The sequence below is a fragment of the Homo sapiens genome, chromosome 3 (assembly GCF_000001405.40).
Source record: "Homo sapiens chromosome 3, GRCh38.p14 Primary Assembly".
Taxonomy (NCBI): Eukaryota; Metazoa; Chordata; class Mammalia; order Primates; family Hominidae; genus Homo; species Homo sapiens.
The window spans coordinates 86712343-86732432 of record NC_000003.12 but is presented as its reverse complement, the minus strand read 5'-3'; the positions used below and the strand labels follow the sequence as shown (position 1 = coordinate 86732432).

Below are 20090 nucleotides of genomic sequence, written 5' to 3'. Positions count from 1 at the left end.
CACGAACCCATTGGAAAGAAGAAACTGGACACATCTGAACATCTGAAGGAACAAACTCTGGACACATTGTCTTTAAGAACTGTAACACTAACCGTGAGAGTCTGCGGCTTCATTCTTGAAGTCAGGGAGACCAAGAACCCACCAATTCCAGACACAAAAGTACTGTATAACAAACATTCTGACTTTCTTTTCCAATAAACCAATTGGGTGGAAGTAAACATAGATGTGCTCAGAGATCAAGTGTTATCTTGAAAAAATAACATCCTATAATAGAAAACCAAATACATGAATAGTAAGGAGCCTCCTATATAAACACGTAAGGATGCATGTACAGGATTACAATGCCAAAGGACTTACTTATATTTATTTATCTTTATGCAATAATTCTATTTTTTTAAAATAACTATGTTATAAATTATCTGGTAGATTCTACAAGATACTGAGAGGTGACAGTGTGCTGGCAGCCCTCGCAGCCCTCGCTCGCTCTTGGCGCCTCCTCGGCCTTGGTGCCTACTCTGGCCATGCCTGAGGAGCCCTTCAGCCCACCGCTGCACTGTGAGAGCCCCTTTCTGGGCTGGCCAAGGTGGGAGCCGGCTCCCTCAGCTTGTGGGGAGATGTGGAGGGAGAGGCATGGGCAGGAACTGGGGCTGTGCGCAGCGCTTGTGGGCCAGCGCGAGCATGGGCTCGGTGGGCCCCACACTTGGAGCGGCCGGCCAGCCCTGGGCAGTGAGGGGCTTAGCAGCTGGGCCAGCAGCTGCTGCGCTCAATTTCTCGCTGGGCCTTAGCTGCCCGTGGGGCAGGGCTTGGGACCTGCAGCCCGCCATGCCTGACCCTCCCCCGACCCGCTGTGGGCTCCTGCGTGGCCCGAGCCTCCCTGCTCCACGGCACCCAGTCCCATCGACCGTCCAAGGGCTGAGGAGTGCGGGCCCATGGTGCGAGACTGGCAGGCAGCTCCACCTGCAGCCCTGGTGCGGGATCCACTGGGTGAAGCCAGCTGGGCTCCTGAGTCTGGTGGGGACTTGGAGAATCTTTATGTCTAGCTAAGGGATTGTAAATACACCAATCTGTACTCCGTAACTAGCTCAAAGTTTGTAAGTGCACCAATCAGCACCCTGTGTCTAGCTCAAGGTTTGTAAATGCACCAGTCAGTGGTCTGTGTCTAGCTAATCTAGTGGGGACTTGGAGAACTTTTGTATCTAGCTCACGGATTGTAAACGCACCAATCGGCACCCTGTCAAAATGGACCAATCAGCCGTCTGTAACATGGACCAATCAGCAGGATGTTGGTGGGGCCAGATAAGGGAATAAAATCAGGCTGCCTGAGTGAGCAGTGGCAACCCGCTCGGGTCCCCTTCCACCCTGTGGAAGCTTTGTTCTTTTGCTCTTTGCAATAAATCTTCCTGCTGCTCACTCTTTGGGTCCACACTGCCTTTATGAGCTGTAACACTCACCACGAAGGTCTGCAGCTTCTCTCCTGAGGCCTGCAAGACCACAAACCCACCGGGAGGAACGAACAACTCCAGATGCGCTGACTTAAGAGCTGTAACACTCACTGCGAAGGTCTGCAGCTTCACTACTGAAGCCAGCGAGACCACGAATCCACCAGAAGGAAGAAACTCCAAACACATCCGAACATCAGAAGGAACAAACTCCGGACACGCCCTCTTTAAGAACTGTAACACTCACTGCGAGGGTCCGTGGCTTCATTTTTGGAGTCAGTGAGACCAAGAACCCACCAATTCCGGACACAATACAATGAAGGGTAAAAAAAGATTCCTGACCACATGGAGATTACAATCTAAGAAAGTAGTAAGACGTGAGGCTAAAAGCAATTAATGCTAAATACACAGCTGAAAACAACGAAGGCAAAGGTCTGATTTGTGGAGTCAGTAAAGAGAATCAATACGATCTCTTTGATTTAAAACAAGAAGGCCTATAACTTTAAAATTGTCTGTCCCTATGTGAGAGGTACATAAAGGGGCATCTGTTTCTTAGCAGTTTTAATTTAAAAAAATTAAGCATATTTGTATCTGGAAACAGGTTGTCTATTTTTTTAAAGTAAAAGCATCATTAAATGCAAGTGGGAACTGTATTTCAATGCTTAAGTCTCTTCTGATGTCATATTTTCAAAGTGGACTTTTTTTTTTTTTTGAGACGGAGTCTCGCTCTGTAGCCCAGCCTGGAGTCCAGTGGCGTGATCTTGGCTCACTGCAAGCTCGGCCTCCCGGGTGCACGCCATTTTCCTGCTTCAGCCTCCGGAGTAGCTGGGACTACAGGCGCCCGTCACCACGCCCTGCTAATTTTTTTGTATTTTTAGTAGAGACGGGGTTTCACCATGTTAGCCAGAATGGTCTCAATCTCCTGACCTAATGATCTGCCCGCCTCGGCCTCCCAAAGTGCTGGGATGACAGGCATGAGCCACCGTGCCCGGCTGAAAGTGGACTCTTTTTAAAGAATAATTTACACTTAGAGTTTAGACAGATGCTTTTTACAATGGTTATCTTTCTGGATGCATCTGTTCAGTGTGTTTTTCCCAGTTCCAGCAAAAAGGTGATATTTTGGGCTGTGATTCTGTCATATAATCACACGGAAACCTGTTAATTCTTATTAACACCTTGACATTTTATTGCTGTAAATTTATCATAAGTTCTTCTGATATAAGATAGATTTAAATGCATAGAGTTGGGCTTTTTGTGTGTGTGTGTCCATTAAACTCTTGATCCTTTGCTCCTTACATCAGCAAAACTTTCAGTAAAGTAAATCAGCTGTTAGCCAGAATACAAATTATAGACTAGGACCTGAAAGGTTAACAGCTTGCTATTTGGAATACAATTGAAAAGCTAGAGAAAACAGAATAGAGGTGTGTTAAAATCTTTCGTATTAACTTCTACACCAGGTAACTCTGACATGTAAAGCTCCTTGTGTTTAGACATTACCCAGCAGAGGTGCAATGGTTTCTTATTACCACAATATAGTTCTTCTGTTAATAGAAGGTGTTAACCTTTCAATTGCTACAAAATTAAAGGTTTAGCCTGGAAACCTGTATCTAGACACAAAGAAAAACCATTATCTAAGGCTGTAATGAGACTCATCAAAAACCGGAAAGTTTCCAGAGATTATGCTCAGGTGCATCAGGATATAATATATGGAAAATGTCACCGTGATATTTTGTCTGTGTTGCAAAGAATTAAAGAACTATGAACCTAATTCTGATCCAGTATGTAATAAGAATATTGAATGCACATCAATGAATGTATAACAAGAGGCAGCCTAACTAAAGGGTTGTTAAAATTCCATCTAAAAAGAATCACAATTTCTCAACCATTTATACTGTTAATTTAAATAATTCAAAAAATATATATTAAAAATACAATGTAGGACACTTACATTTATTATTATGCATTTATGTCCAAGAATAAATTTAAATTCAAGACAAAATTATTAAAGACTGCTTATTTCAAAAGTATGGCAAGGGAACTCATCTGTTGCATGAGTTCACAGATATTAGAAAATAGTACATTTTATAGAGTACTAAAAAGAAATACTGATACATCCCATGAACAAAGCAATTGTTCTTTGAAGATGAGGTTTTTGGAAGGGAGTTTGGAGGTGAAACTGACCCAATGGATCCATAGACAGGTTTTTTTGTTTGTTTTTTGTTTTTTTGAAACTAAATATAGAAATTGACCTTTCTGGTCTTAAAGCTTGACATTTACATTTGTTTTATCTCAGTTCCCTCCAAAGGAAAGAACCCCAGGTCTCTCAAAAAGTCTCAAAGAACTGAAATTCACATGATGATGGTATCCAGACACTGAGACTCAAGGTCCCTCATTCATCATGATTGCTTTCTTGCCACTCCTGAGTTTTCATTTTCTCACACATGGTTATATTTCTTCCCTGCTAAATAAACCCCCAATTTTAGTTGGTCAGGGAGTTGGATTTGAGACTGATCTCCCATCTCCTTGGCTGTGGCACCCAATCACAGCCTTCTTCCTTGGCAATAATCCTTGTCTCAGTGATTGGTTTTCTTTGAGGTGAGCAGCAGGACCTAGACCAAATCCCTTATGTCTTGGTAACAGAGAGATTTCAAACTAGTTTTCAGGTATATTTGGCAGTCCTTGGTTGGCTACAGGGGACAAGTTTGGAGACATTTCCAAAAGAAAGAATTCTTTATTGTTGAGGTTGGGAAAAGGGCTTTCTGGGGCCAGCCATATCTTGATTCAAGTCAGAATCAATGGGGTGCTTTTTGGAGGTCAAACTCTCATAATGGTTTCCATAGACGGAGAGAGGGAGACTATTACACCAGAGAGTTTTTAATTTGTTAAAGTGAGTTTGCATTTATTGACCATGAAGTGACCTATTTGAAGGTGGAAATTGATGATGACATCTCCCTAAATCTGTTGATGGCAAGGAAAGCCATCCTGCCATGAAGTCTGACATACAGAATCCTCTTAAAGTATACCCCCAAGAGATGTTATAAATATTGTGGCTATTGGAAGACAAAAAAACCCCATAATTTAAAAATGCTTAACTCTATAACTATTTTATTGGTATGAACTGAAAATAGAAAATACATTTCGTTGTCATGTAATCACAAATTCTATTTCTCTTCATCATTAACACAAGAAATGATCACCATTTGACTCACCACAGAAAGCATGAAATAGAACTATCTTGTTTTTTATGAACTACTCTCTCAAGCTTGCACATCCTCCTCCTTTTTCTTAATAAATATAGATTATTTTTCTTAGTCAAAAAATTAATCAATGAATCAGCAAATAGGTAATGGCAAGGTACTTTGCTAGGTGAAGTGAAGAATGGGAGTGTTCCCTGCAGTCTAGTTATTTACAACCTACAAGAAGACACTACACACATGCACCAAAAAATAAGAAACATTAAAAGGCAAGATAAAGTTTAAGTGTGTCCTGAGTTTTACGGCAAGTATAGATGAATTGATAGACAATGGGAACCCTAAAGCATGACTAAGGCATATTACATATTACAGAGTTCAAGGTGGTTTGAAGGACCTGCATGACATGGCATATGAAGAGTCACAACATTCTATATGGAATGCCCTCAGTAAGATTCCACTAGCAGATTGATGTCTCAATAAAAATGTAAATAATTAAATGAATTGCTCCTTGGATGAATGGTGGAATTCAAAGACAAAAGAGCAGAATGACAAGGCAACGTTAAAAATACAATATTTTTGTTTGGAACAGATTAGAGCAGTCTAGTTTTTGTTGCATCTTTGTGTAAACACTAGTGAGGTTAAAAAAAATTGATTGGGGCAATATTGCAGTTGCTAAATAGATGGGACTTTAACCAGGAATTAAGGGTTCTTTATGAGATGATTTCATACCTCAGTCTCTGGCTTTCTTCTCATAGTCCTACTCTCTTCTCATTATCTCTTTCATAACCGAAAATGTAATTATTAATTATCCTATATGCTCACAGTCTGTTGCGTATATATCCCTGGCTGGTAGCATTCTCTTAATATTTAGAGATGTATAGAAAAGTACATATTAGGTGGGTCCACCTCAATGTCCTATAAATATTTCAAACCCAACATATTTAAAGTAAACATGTTGTATTTCTACTGTAAATTTACTTCTTTATTTTCTGTTTCAGTAAATGATCCCACCTAACATTTGTTCTTGATATCTGCTTCATTCTTACTCTCCAATCTGATGCATTACCAAGTTGCAACAATTCTATCTCTCATATATGTTTCGAATTCATTCATTTTTTCAACCCTCTGTCACAAATTTAGATAAAACACCATTCATCTCTTGTGTTGTTGACTCCAGTAGCCTCTCAGCCTCAAAATTGGTTCCTCTGCCTTCAGTCTTGCTCCTTTTCCAGTCCTTCTCCATGCAATAACTAGGATGATCCTTAAACATGCATATTTCATCACATATGCATCAATTAATTTCATAAATATTAAATACCTCATGTAAGATTTTCATAAATTAGTGAATAAAGCTGAACCTGACTATATAGAATTCACCCTAAATATAACGAATATGGACTTCATCATTGCACTTTAAACTCCCCTTTCTTCACAGTTGTTCAGTTTTTCTTACTGTAATTCCTTTTCTCTCAGATCTGGTTGTTAAATATCCACATTTTCCATCAGAGTTTTAAATAATATTAACAACATTTTAAAAAATCACAATAAGAGTATTGCCTTAAATCGTATATGCTCATTTACAATTCCCAAATGTTTCCTCAAAAATAGAACTTTCTAAATTAGTCAGGGAAGACATCATGATTAATACTTATAAATAATATCACATCTCAGAGAAATTAAGTTGTCTGTACAAGGTCACATAGCCATTAAATGGCCACCTCTCCTGTTTCCAGACTTCACTATGAAGTCTCTCTCCGGAACTCTTTTATCTCAAAGCTCATGATATTTGATTTCTAAATATTTTGGCAGATGATAACAACAATCTCTTACATATACAGTGCTTCTATATTTATAAAACCATGTTCCCATGCTAAACTCATTTCTCTTTTTAAATAAACATTCTATATTAAAAATTTTCAATTTACAGAAAAATTACAAGACTTTACTGCGTTCACATAAACATACATCAATTTATTATTAATATATGTTAATGTAGTATATTTTTTCATAAGTAGTGAACCAATATTGATGTAGTATTATTAACTAAAGCCATACTTTATTCAGATTTTCTTACTTTTTAGAAAACCAGTTTCTTTCTTTCTTTTTTTTTTTTCTTTTTTGAGACAGAGTCTTGCTCTTTTGCCCAGTCTGGAGTGCAGTGGCGTAGTCTTGGCTCACTGCAACTTCCGCCTCCTGGGTTCAAGCAACTCTCTGCCTCAGCCTCCCAAGTAGCTGGGATTACAGGTGTGCCCTACCACACTCGGCTAATTTTTTCTATTTTTAGTACAGACCGGCTTTCACCATGTTGGCCAGACTGGTCTTGAACTCCTGACCTCATGATCCACATGCCTTGGCCTCCCAAAGCTCTGGGATTACAGGCGTGAGCCACTGCGCCAGGCCAGAAAACCAGTTTCTCATATTTTAATCTAATATTCTTTGCTTCCATGAACCCATCTAGAATATCACATGACATTTAGTTATGTTCCCTTGGGATTCTTTTGACAGTAATAGTTTCTCAAACTTATTCTGGATAACCTAGATGGTGGTAAACAATACCAATTTTTTTTTTTTTTTGTAGAATATACTTCAGTTGGAATTATCTGTTGTTTTCCTCATGATTACTCTTAAATTACAATTTTTTTTAAAAGAAGACCGTAAAGGTAAAATGTCGTTCTCATCACATCACAGCAGGAGTACATATTATCCAAATGACTTATCATTGTTGGTGATAATCTATATCACTTGGCTAAGTTTTTGTATCATAAAATAGTCGTAAGATTACTATTTTTCCTCTTTCCATATTCTGGATGAAAATAACTACGTGGCTGGGCACGGTGGCTCAAGTCTGCAATCCCAGCACTTTGGGAGGCTGAGGCGGGCAGATCACGAGGTCAGGAGATCAAGACCATCCTGGCTAACACGCTGAAACCCTGTCTGTACTAAAAATACAAAAAATTAGCGGGCGTGTTGGCGGACCCCTGTAGTCCCAGCTACTTGGGAGGCTGAGGCAGGAGAATGGCGTGAACCCGGGAGGTGGAGCTTGCAGTGAGCTGAGATCGCACCACTGCACTCCAGCCTGGGAGACAGAGTGAGACTCTGTCTCAAAGAAGAAAAAAAAAAAAAAGAAAATAACTATGTGCAGCTCACACTTAAACAGTTGGAACTTATGCTTCACTTGCTCAAGGGTAAATTACTTAGGTTATTTGGAATTCTTCTGCATGGGAGATTTGTCTATCACCATTTATTAATAAATTTGCTTATTCATTCAGTCATTTCTTTGTATCAGAATATTTATTTTATACTTTGGATTATAATCCAATAATACTTTATATTGCTGCTTAAATATTTTCAGTTTTGGCCATTGAGAGCTCTGTCAGTTGGCCCTGATTTGTCTTTTATTCTCACAGATTCTTGGAGAAGCTATATCATTCTTTCCTTCCTCAGCATACCGATGCTTCTCCTCATTTTGTATAATATAAAAAGAAAAAGTGTAAACTATTTAGCTAGTTAAATTATCTTCATCCCCTATCCTGACCTCTTCTGGTATCAATCTCCAAATATAAAGGAAATTAACATTGGTTAATCTTTTATAGCTCAGGTATTCTATTAGTTTTTAAAATATTTCTTCAATTTTCCTTTTTTTTTGTTTTAGTAAACATTGGTTGTTGAGTTTTTTGTTTGTTTTTTTTTATATTCCCCATAAAGTATGGATATACAAGATGTTTTTCATGCAGATAACCCCAGCAAGATACTATACAAGAAAATCATCCTCAAGACACATAGTCATCAGATTCTCCAAGGTTGAAGTGAAAGAAAAATGTTAAAGGCAGCTAGAGAGATGAGGAAGGTCACCTACATAGGAAACCCCATCAGGCTAACAGTGGATCTTTCAGAAGAAACTCAATAAGCTAGAAAAGATTGGGGATCTATATTCAGCATTTTAAAGAAAATAAATTTCAACCAGTAATTTAATATCTAGCCAAGCTGAAATTCACAACTGAAGGACAAATAAGATCCTTTTCAGACAAGTAAATGTTAAGGGAATTTATTGCCACCAGATTTGCCTTACATGAGATCCTAAAAGAAGTGCTAAATATGGAAAGGAAAGAATTGTGCCAGCTACCTCAAACACATACTTAAGTACATAAATCATTGGCACTATAAAACAACCACACAATCAAGTCATTGTAATAACCAGCTAACTACATGATGACAGGATCAAACCTGCAAATGTCAATATTAACCCTGAATCTAAATGGGCAAAATGCCCCAATTAAAAGGCACATAGCAGTCATTTGCTTGAAGAAGCAAGACCCAACTGTATGATAGTATTGAAGAGATCCATCTTACATGCAATGACACCCATAGACTCAAAGGAAAGGGATGGAGAAAAATATACCACACAAATGGAAAGTAGAAAAAAAAGTAGGGGTTTCTATTCTAATTTCAGACCAAACATACTTTAAACCAATAAAAATCAAAAAAAGACAAAGAAGGGCATTACATAATAGTTAAAGGGCTCAATTTAACAAGAAGATCTGTCTTAAATATATATGCACCCAACACAGAAGCACCCAGATTCATAAAGCAAGTTCTTAGAGACCTATGAAGAGGTGTAGATAATGCCACAAAAATAGTGGAAGACTTCAGCATGCCACTGACAGTATTAGAAAGATCACTGATGCAGAAAATTAACAGATATCCTGGGCCTGAATTTGACATTTGACCAAATGGGCCTAATGTATATCTCCAGAACTCTCCTCCCCAAAACAGCAGAATATGCATTCTTCTCATCTGCACATGGCACCTAATCTAAAATTAACCACAACTGAGGGACTGGGGTTAGGGCTTCTCATTACTGAGAAAAAAAAGAAGACCCTTTATGACCTTTACTGAAATAATCTAACTTACTGGCAATATCAATTAATTCCACAATAATATAGATTAAATCAGTTATTGAAATCAGTAGTTAGGGTACATCATCCAAAAGTCCTGATGAAACAAAAATTATTGAACTCCACCTCCAGAGTTTCTAACCAGTAAATTTTAGGTGGGACCAGTATTTTTCAGTTCTAATAACTTTCCAGGTACATTAGTTTGCTAGGGATGCCATTACCAAATACCATAGACTGCGCTCCTTAAACAACAGAAATTTATTTTCTCAAAGTCTGGAGGCTGGAAGTCCAAGATGAAGGTTTCAGCAGCATTGGTGTATTCTGAGGTCTCTCTCCTTCTCTTGCAGATGGTGGTCTTCTGGGTATGTTTGCACATGGTATTTCTTCTGTGTCTGCAAGTATCTGGTGTCTCTTCTCTCCCCTTCTTATAAGGATAACAGACATACTGGATTAGGAACCACTCTAATAGCTCCAGTTTAACTTAATCACCACTTTAAATGCTCTCTCTCCAAATATAGTCACAGTCTTCCAAGTTAGATCTTCAACATATGAATTTCAGGGTGACATAATTCAGCCCATACCAACTGGCTATGCTGATGCTGCTGTCTGGGACCACGTGTTGCAAATTACTGGCTTATGTCATTAAATAAATCCAAGAATTTGCCAAGAAAAACTGACAGTGATTGGGATAAGTAATGGTGCAATATCAGTAAGGAGAATTCAGAAGATGAATTCTGGATATAGAGGCTCCTCTTTCTCAACATTGATCGAGAGTGACAATCACACACAAGATCAATTAAGAAAAAGAAGCTGAGTTGTAGTCAACATGATCCTTTGTCCCTTGCCTTCCATGAACCCTGAATCAATAGAAATATTCCATGTGAGGGATATTTAATGTCACTAGAAACTCTTAGCTCTGACAAGTAATTTGCAGGTGCACTGGTTCATATATTGTTTACTGCTTTGTGTTTGCCTTGTGGCTTTCTATAGATTACTCTTAAATGTGTTCACTGTGGGACACTAGATTTTCCAGACTTATGGTGGCATTATTATGAATAAAAGTCCTATGGACAAACAGATCCAAACTTGTATATAAACACCCAGAAGATAAATCTAGGTTCTTTAGAAAACAAGCCAAAATTAGGAGAAAAGGAGGAGAGAAAAAAGTATTTTCACATATTCATTAGATAGATCAGATTATCTAATAGATTCATTAGATAGATCATATTATCTAATAGATCAATCATAGATATTATCTATGATAATGATTATCTAGATATGATTGAACTATAGATCAATCATATCAATTTTTCTGTAAAGTTGACTTTTTAATATCAAAATAATTTACAGTAATAAATTTGAAACCAAACTTTAGTTCAAAATAAATTTTCTTCAAGTGCATGCTCTTTAAAAAATATTTAGATTTGACCTTCAGTCTTCTAATCTGTCAAATGAGTTAACAATACTTGTATTAAGAATTTCCCATAATGTGGCCTGGAGCGGTGGCTCACGCCTGTAATCCCAGCACTTTGGGAGGCCAAGGCGGGCAGATCATGAGGTCAGGAGATCGAGACCATCCTGGCTAACACGGTGAAACCCTGTCTCTACTAAAAATACGAAAAATTAGCCTGGTGTGGTGGCCGGCGCCTGTAGTCTCAGCTACTCGAGAGGCTGAGGCAGGAGAATGGCGTAAACCCGGGAGGCGGAGCTTGCAGTGAGCCCAGATCGCGCCACTGCACTCCAGCCTGGGTGACAGAGCAAGACTCCGTCTCAAAAAAAAAAAAAAAAAAAAATTGCCATAATATTTAATGAAATGCTGAATATTCAGTAATAGATACCTAGGACGTATTCAAAATGGTGGTTATAATTATGAAGACTGCTATAGAGTATTAAACAGAGGTAGTCGATAGTGTACATACATTGTATGATTTGGCAAGTGTCCCACTAAAGAAAATATTTAGTGGAATCGGCTAAGTTATCAGCATTCTCTTCTCCCCTACCTTCAGATAATCTTGACATCTCCTATGTTTTATTCTAGTATGAATATGGCCACTCCTTCAATTCTTTCCTCAAAAAATCTACTCTCAACAAAGCTCACCAGAGTAAGTTGATTCCTGGAGAAAATTAGAAAAGTTTTCAATGCCAACATGGGAGATTTGTCTAAGAATGCAAAATTACATGATAATTTCTTTTATTTTGAGTGGCTATAAGAATGCCATGCATATATGAATAAGGTCTTCTAGAGCTGACATAACAACATATCTGAGACTGGATAGCCTAAACAACAGGAATTTGTTTTCTACAGTTCCAGAAGCTAATAGCCCAAGAACAAGGTGCTATGAAGGTTGGTTCCTTGTAAGGCCTCTCTGCCTGACATGTAGATAACCTCTCACATGGCCCTTTCTTTGTGTGTGTTGGGGAAAAGAGAGAGAGAAATCTCTTGTGTCTCTTTTTGTTCTTGTAAGAATACTGGCCTAGGGCCCAAAACTCATGACCTCATTTAAACTTAGTTACCTCCCTAAAGGCCTTATCTCCAAATACAGTCACATTGGGGTTCAGAGTTTCAACATATGAATTTTGGGAAGACACAATTCAGTCCACAACAGAAAGTAACTAATAATATGTTAAGGTTTGCAAATCATCAACAATATTTCACAATATGAATAGGTAATGAATGCATACACGTTTTATTTTTTCACATCATCTTTAACACTAACGTGCAATGATTCTGAATGGTTTTATTTTGATCACACAGAGCCCATATACAATTTTGTTTGCTGTGTATTTGCCTTTTTAAGTAAAATAAAAGTGTTTGACAAAGATTACGAGACATTCATAAAATCCCGTAAAATAAGTGGAGAAAATTATTCTACAGTGTTTTCTACTTTTTATACCGTGATATATTTGGAGATATGTCTGGAGATTGAATAGGAAGAAATGTACAGATAAACAACCAAAGGTGACATTAAATCTAAGAGTTTATGGTAAGAGTCAAAAATATTTTTATTTTCCATGGAAACAGTCAACTATGAAATTAACATAAAACTTTTTCAATAAAACAATTTTGTTTATTTCTCCAAATAACTTATCCAAACTAGAAATCTACAAATGTAGATCAAAGCATTCTGGTTCTTAAAGAGTGACAAAATATTCATTTTTACAAATATTTTCAATCTTTTCTTGCAACTTCTTATAAAAGTCATGCTTGACTCTTGGGCAACATTTGATATGCCAATATATGTTTGGTATATAGCATTCAACACTTTTCAGGGATTTGAAAATACAACCACATTAAATAATTAGTGATTTTCTTCTAAAGCTTGTGACAAATAATGTATTTAAGAAACAGAACTAGGATTTGTCAATTTTCATTCATAAATGCATTCAGCCATGTTTTCAAAGCATGCCAGGAATATTAAATCCACCAAGTCAAGAAATAAAATGAATTGAATAAATGCAATTCAGATGAAATTCTAACTGAGACATTGAGTAGTGAAGGGAAAATGTATTATCTGTTAAATTTTTCTCACATTAAAATAAAAGAAAAAACTTTAACCTGGTTAAATATCAGACATCAGTTTAGATAAGAATTGTATACATTCCTCAAATCTGTTCCAGCACTGAGTCTTGATTGTGATTCAGAGAACAAGTGTCTGCATTGCCTGTTTATTCTGATTCAGTCCAAATCTTTTAAAACAACAAAGACAGAATTAAGTCAATATGACCTACTTTCACAATTTTTTAAAAAAATTTTTTCTGCAATTCCTGAAAAAGACCTAAGCCTATTATATATTCGGTAGCATTTTATGTTAGAATGATCACTAGAACCTGGAAAAAATATTCTTTAAAAAGCTAACACTCTTAAAGTTAAAAAATAAATCTCACTCTTTTTGCTGGAATATTTTGATGAGACCACATGTTTTATGAGCTTTCACTGGAATATCTCACTGAGTAGAAAGAAAAGGAGAAGCCTCATTGAAGGCATTGTTTCAGTACATTATCAAACTGCTCTTATATATTGACAAGCATAGTGGTTCAAACAAATCCTTTTGGAAAAAGTATTGAATTTGGATGGTAAATACACATTTTGTAACTGAAACTAGTTTAAAAATTTTAAATTATACTAAAGGAAATGGCAAACTATGGCAGTGGAAAGGAACATGACACGTCATTACCACAGAATAAAATTTCTTATTCCTCAAACTGAAAACAAGCTGACTCCAGAACATACAAGTTTACTTTTTCTAATTAGGAAAATACAGGACAATAGAAATAGATAATATAATAGTTTAGGGATTACAGAATAATTCTTATCTTGGGTTAGCAAATTTATAACACAATTTACTTCTGTAAAAGTGCAAAAGACATAACTGTGGGTGCTTTTTTATATAAACTTCATGATAAATAAAAACTATACATTCTAGGTTATCTAATTATTAGTGGCTAAGCAATTAGAGGTCTGTGTTAGTCCATTTTCATACTGCTATGAAGACTGGGTACTTTACAAAGAAAACGAAGTTGAATGGACTCGCAGTTCCACATGGCAGAAGGTGAAGTAGGAGGAAAAGCATGTCTTATATGGCGGCAGTCAAGAGAGTACGTGCAGGGGAACTGCCCTTTATAAAACCATCAGATGTTGTAAGACTTATTCACTATCATGAGAACAGCATGAAAAATCCTGCCCCCGTGATTCAATTACCTCCCACTGGATCCCTCCCATGACACAAGGGGATTATGGGAGCTACAATTCAAGATGAGATTTGGGTGGGGACACAGCCAAACTATATCAAGATCCTTAACCAAAAATGTGACAATATAATCTCAGATTTGGGATTTTAAATTTTAAAATTTAGTTTTCCAGATGTACTTATTCATATATCTTGTATTCATTCTAACAAACACGTATTAACTGCTGCTTTTTCAGATGGTATAGTTGACCTTATGCAAAATGTCTAGAGTAAGGGTTACAAACCTGAGTGCCCAAAGGAGTAACGTAAATGAGCAAAGCTGGCCTGTGTGAAATGAAGCTCCCTGGAGTGTGAGCATCCACCAAAAAGGGACAGGTTGTCTTCAGCTACAATATGGTTATGTGGGCACAGTTTTTCCAGATTTACCATTTTTTAGAGGAGATTGGAAATCTGACATTGTAATTGCAGACTTCTGATTTTAAAGTACCAACAACTAATTAAGTTTAAAAAATCGTGTTTTTTTAATATATAGATAGCCAAACAAAACCGACCTGATGCAGCCTGACTGTTTAAAGTTTTTCCCACTGATACAGAGATTTATCAATACGTTTGAAGTCTGACATTTTATTCAGATTTTTGGCAATGAATAAATAGCCTCCAAGTCTATCATTGGTTCTAAAGATAAATACCTGATTCTCTGTTGTCTGTTCTGATTCCATGATACTCAATCTTTCTATCAGTCCCTTGGAAAATGACATTGTCAGATCATCTTTAAGTTTGTCTGATGATACCTATTTGTAAAAGGAGAATGTTACACTGTTTAATACAGGTCAGAACTGAAAAAGAAAGTATTCTGAGAAAATAAAACAAGATATTATTTGAGTAAAAATTATTTTATGTGTACATCATATATATACACACATATCTATATGTATGCACATTTTATATATATACATGCACACACACAGTAAAAGATTCACAGAGATTGAATCAATAGTCATCAATCAAACTTTATGTTAGTAGGAATTATCTGAAATAAATGTATTTTTTAATATGTGGTTTTACTCCAAGAGATGCAGATTCTGTAGTATTTAAAGAGGACCCAGGGCCTTTTCAAGAAGGCTTCATATGATTTCAGGCTCATGGTTATAAGATTGATGTTACAAACACTATGGTAGATTAAAACACTGATAAAGAATAAAACATCAATTTGATACAAAATTAGCATCATTTCAGTGAAAGTAGTCAAGGTCCTACCCTTTACATTTTCCTTTTCAAATAAATGACAGTTGACTATTGGATCATCCTCTTTAGTGTGAATATTCTATATAGTGGAAGAGTAAGTAAATATAGATGGTCCCTGACTTGTGATGGTTGAAATCACAATCTTTTCTTTTTTTTTTTTTTGAAATGGAGTCTCACTCTGTCACCCAGGCTGGAGTGCAGTGGCACTATTCCAGCTCACTGCAAACTCAGCCTTCCAGGTTCAAGCAATCTCTGCCTCAGCCTCCTGAGTAGCTGGGATTACAGGCACCCGCTACCACGCCCAGCTAATTTTTGTATTTTCAGTAGAGATGGGGTTTCACCATCTTGGCCAGGCTGGTCTTGAACTCCTGACCTCGTGATCCACCCGTCTTGGCCTCCCAAAGTGATGGGATTACAGGCGTGAGCCACAGCGCCCGGCCTGAAGTTACAATTTTTCATTTCTATGATGGTGCAAAAGTGTATTCACCTTTCTCATGCAACTGATAAAAACATACTCAAGAATGAGTAATTTATAAAGAGAAAGAGGTTTAATGGACTCACAGTTCCGCGTGGCTGGTGAGGTCTCATGATCATGGTGGAAAGCAAAAGACATTTCTTACAAGGTGGCTGACAAGAGACAATGAGATCCAAGAGAAAGGGGTTTCCCCTTATAAAACCATCAGATCTCATGAGACTTACTCATACCACGAGAACAGTATGGGGGAAACCATCCCCATGACTCAATTATCTCCCACTGAGTTTCTCCCACAACACGTGGGAATTATGGGAGCTACAATTCAAGATAAGATTTGGGTGGGGACACAGCCAAACCATACCAAAAATCAATACACATTTAGTAGAAACCTTACTTCAAGTACTCATACAACCATTCTGTTTTTCACTTTCGGTGTTCAATAAATTACATGAGATATTCAACACTTTATAATAAAACAGAATTTTTTGTTAGGTGCTTTTGCCCAACTGTAGGCTAATGCAAGTTTTCTGAGCACATTTAAGGTAGGCTAAGCTAAGCTGTGATGTTTGGTAGGTTAGTTGTATTAAGAGCATTTTTGACACAGGATTTTTTGATATTTTGAACTCACGGTTGATTTATAGACCCCATTATAAGTCAAGGAGCCTCTGTACTATTTCACAATTGTTAACCAGATGGTTGTGCTCATTGGCTGACAACTTTAAATAAATATAAAAATAACAATAAAAACAGTAAAAGCTAAAATTGAAAACAGTACCCCCAAACACATAGTTATTATTGTTATTCTGATTTTATAGATAATGAAAGGGATTAGCCAAATATCTTCCAGTGAGGCAAATTGCCAAGCATCATAATATTTAATAAATGGTTTCTCCATGGAGAAAACAACCAGAAATCCCTCTCATTACAAGGGGAGAGAGGATAAGGTAGTCATTGTCCTAAGCACCAATCTCCCATGTCACATTTAGTTGGCATTTCAAGCACAGGGTGGCTAGGATACAACAGGCAATATTTTTACATTTTGTGAGTATATACCACCTTAATCATGAAATCATATATAATTTATCTTTTTTTTTTTTGTGATCCAACAATTTTCTCTCATCCCTCTGTCCTAAGCATGTAGCCATCCTAGAGTTTTCTAACAGAGGCATAATCCTCTTCTGAGATAAGCCCTTGATATTTCCAATTGGTTAAAAGTGACACTCACTGTTTGATATTTATCTGTCTCAGCTCTCATTGAATAGAGACATTTAATAAGATGGCTAGTTAAATCTTGCCAGTCAATCTCTTTCTTCTTCCTACACCTATACTAGCATCATGCTGGTCACAGATGACAGTACGCTCGCAGATCTTGATCTAGTCACAATGTCAGAGGATTGGAAATAATATAATGGCCCTCTCGGGACAGAATAGGGAGGTAACATGATGTAATGTAAAGAGTAAAAGAGAAGATTTTTCGGGGGGTTGAATCCTAAATATATTAGTTTTCTAGCTCTTTGACCTAAGGTAAATTAACTAAGTTATCCTTTCTCAGTCTCCTTACCTAACATCTCTACCTCATAGGGTCATTGTCAGTGTTCACTCAATAACTCTTTGCTATTGTAGTTATCATTAACAAGGAAATATGCATGGCTCACGCCTGTAATCCCAGCGATTTGGGAGTCCGAGGCGGGTGGATCACGAGGTCAGAAGATGGAGACCATCCTGGCTAACACGGTGAAACCCTGTCTCTACTAAAGATACAAAAAATTAGCCGGGCGTGGTGGCGGGCGCCTGTAGTCCCAGCTGCTCTGGCGGCCGAAGCAGGAGAATCGCTTGAACTTGGGAGGCGGAGCTTGCAGTGAGCCGAGATCGCGCCACTGCAGTCTAGCCTGGGTGAGGTGACCGAGCAAGACTCCTTCTGAAAAAAAAAAAAAAAAGAAACAAAAACTGGGATTTTTTTTTTAATGCATATGCCAGACTACAAAATGTAAATCGTGTGAAATTCCGTACTCACTGCCATCATTTTATTCTCTTACCTGATTATAGTGGTACAGATGTAACACTTCCATATGATACAAATTAAAATAAAGGAGGAGTTATAACAAAAGGAGATCTAGGAGAATCATTAAAACTAAAGTTGATACTAAGCTCTGAGATAGAAAAAGAAGAAAGGGGGAAGGAGAAAGAAAATACTGCAATAGCTTCTGAATATTGATGAGTATTAAAATTGTTGAGATGATAAACACATAATTTTGGCATTCTAGACCCAGATATTTTGACTCAGGAAGTCTGGGGTTAGGTCCAGAAACAAACACTTAAATTTCCCCTGTGATTTGGATATTTAGCTCACTTAGACCACCCCTACATAAATACTGAAAGAGGGATCGCTTACTCTGAAAAGAAAGCTCAAAAGGACTTTTTATCACTACCTTCACATTCACAAATAATACTTCACTGAGTAGTATCGTCATTGTTTTTTCCATTCTCTCTTATAACTAAAAGTGAAGAAATAAAATTAATATACTTGTTAAGGAATTTTATCTTAGCTATCAGAAATTTTTTAAAAAATTAAAGAGTAAAAATATAGAAATCAAATACTGGTTATCTATGGTTATGGATGTCCTAGTTTAGCAATCTTTTAAAACAAAGACTAAGTATTATCATTTTAGTTACAGATTAGGAGTTAAACTGTCTAGATTACTTTTAGGAAAGAGAACTAATACTTAACAGCCCTCCTATATGTGAACATTATTTTTCTTCATCTAATCCTCACAACAACCTTTTAGGGAGGTCTCACTCACCATTATTTTTTACGTGAGTATGTTAGGCTTGGAAGCACCAATAACCTTGCCCAAATTTACATTATTAGTCAACTATTACACCAACTTGCAAACTCAAGACCCCCCCCCAACTAGAAATTCCTTCATTTTCTTTTAGCTGGCCTCTCTCCAGACTGAAATATTCCACAATAAACATATTTCCATTCATCAATTTTTTCTCCATAGCACAGCACTACAATTTCTCTCCAGCTACTGCAGGCCATCTACCAGCACTAAAATCTTTAGTAATTTCCCACTTCTTGCGGAATTAATTCAAAATTCCCTAACAGAGCACAGAAGATCTTATGTAACTTGTTTCTAACCTATTTCTTCTGCCTCACCTTGATTTCTCCCCAGCCTTTTATTAAATAGATTTATCTTTCTTTGTAGAATGACAAGGTATCTTGATCAGAGTTCTCTGCCTGGAATACCTTTAACAGTCTTATCTTCCTAGCTCATTCTGAGCCATTTTTTGAAGCCTGCCATAAATACCTTTTCTCTGACACCAACAACAGAACTAATTTTTACTCTTTTGTAATCTCAGGCTATATTCTGTACATTTCTCCCTTTGTCATTCATTCATTTGTTACATGACATTACCCACGATTGAAATAAGCAACTTGAAGCGAGATCCCAGCTTTATTCAATTTTGTATCCCCAGTACCTAGTTCTTAGTAAGTGTCCATAAACCCTAATGAGGTAAATAAAACTATGATTATAAAATAGTTAGTGTTGTTGTTAGTCTTCTTTAGCAATACATTTCAATCCACCATGGATGCATCCCATTATTAAAATATGAACTTTAAAATTCACTACATATTTATAAGGGTGGTAATTATAACTTATTTTCATATTTTCATTAGCATGTCAAGGTATCTTCCTAATAAATAATTACAAAAAGTTTTAAAAATTCTCCTCATCAAGGATGAAGAGATTATCTACTATTAGCTAAAATATGACTTTGGCTTGTATTTAAAATTAACGGCAGGTGTATTGGCATAATTAATATGAAGGTATTTAAAATACTTAACATTGATATTATTTTCCATACCAAGAAATAGATTGCATCATGCAGTTATAAATTTTTTCTCTAAACTCTATTAAAATATGACTTTGTAAATATCTATAAATTATACTCATTTTATATTACTAGCAAGATATAGAGGACAGACAAAAGAGTCAGCTGATGGGCCTACACATTTGTAGGATGAACTCCTTTGAGGCTCTGTGGGATGAATACAAAGACACCCTCAATAAATTTGTATTTATTTTTTATAAACAAATCTGGAAGCCAATTCAAAATGTATGCTCTAAGCTATTTTATGCATATCTTGT

The 20090-nt window shown here is 36.8% G+C and overlaps 1 long non-coding RNA gene across 4 annotated transcripts in view, besides 1 other annotated feature; it reads right to left on the bottom strand.

The window, feature by feature from the left end:
- LOC101927518 (uncharacterized) overlaps positions 1 to 20090 on the bottom strand; it is a 78207-nt gene that overhangs the window by 4843 nt on the left and 53274 nt on the right. For 2 of the 4 annotated variants that reach the window (XR_245083.4, XR_001740561.1), the window contains exons 2-3: positions 14906 to 15007; positions 12240 to 13215 (exon numbers count right to left, since the gene is read on the bottom strand). This is a non-coding gene — a long non-coding RNA (uncharacterized LOC101927518). Of the gene's footprint in view, positions 1 to 9779; positions 9950 to 12239; positions 13216 to 14905; positions 15008 to 20090 lie in introns of those variants that run through there. The other 2 variants (XR_941026.3, XR_941027.4) reach the window with 2 other exon arrangements.
- Positions 17687 to 17887: a silencer, noted in NCBI's record as "peak4735 fragment used in MPRA reporter construct". NCBI's record gives its function as "represses an SCP1 promoter by STARR-seq MPRAs in K562 erythroleukemia cells {active_cell/tissue: K562}" and the evidence as "EXISTENCE:reporter gene assay evidence [ECO:0000049][PMID:32103011]".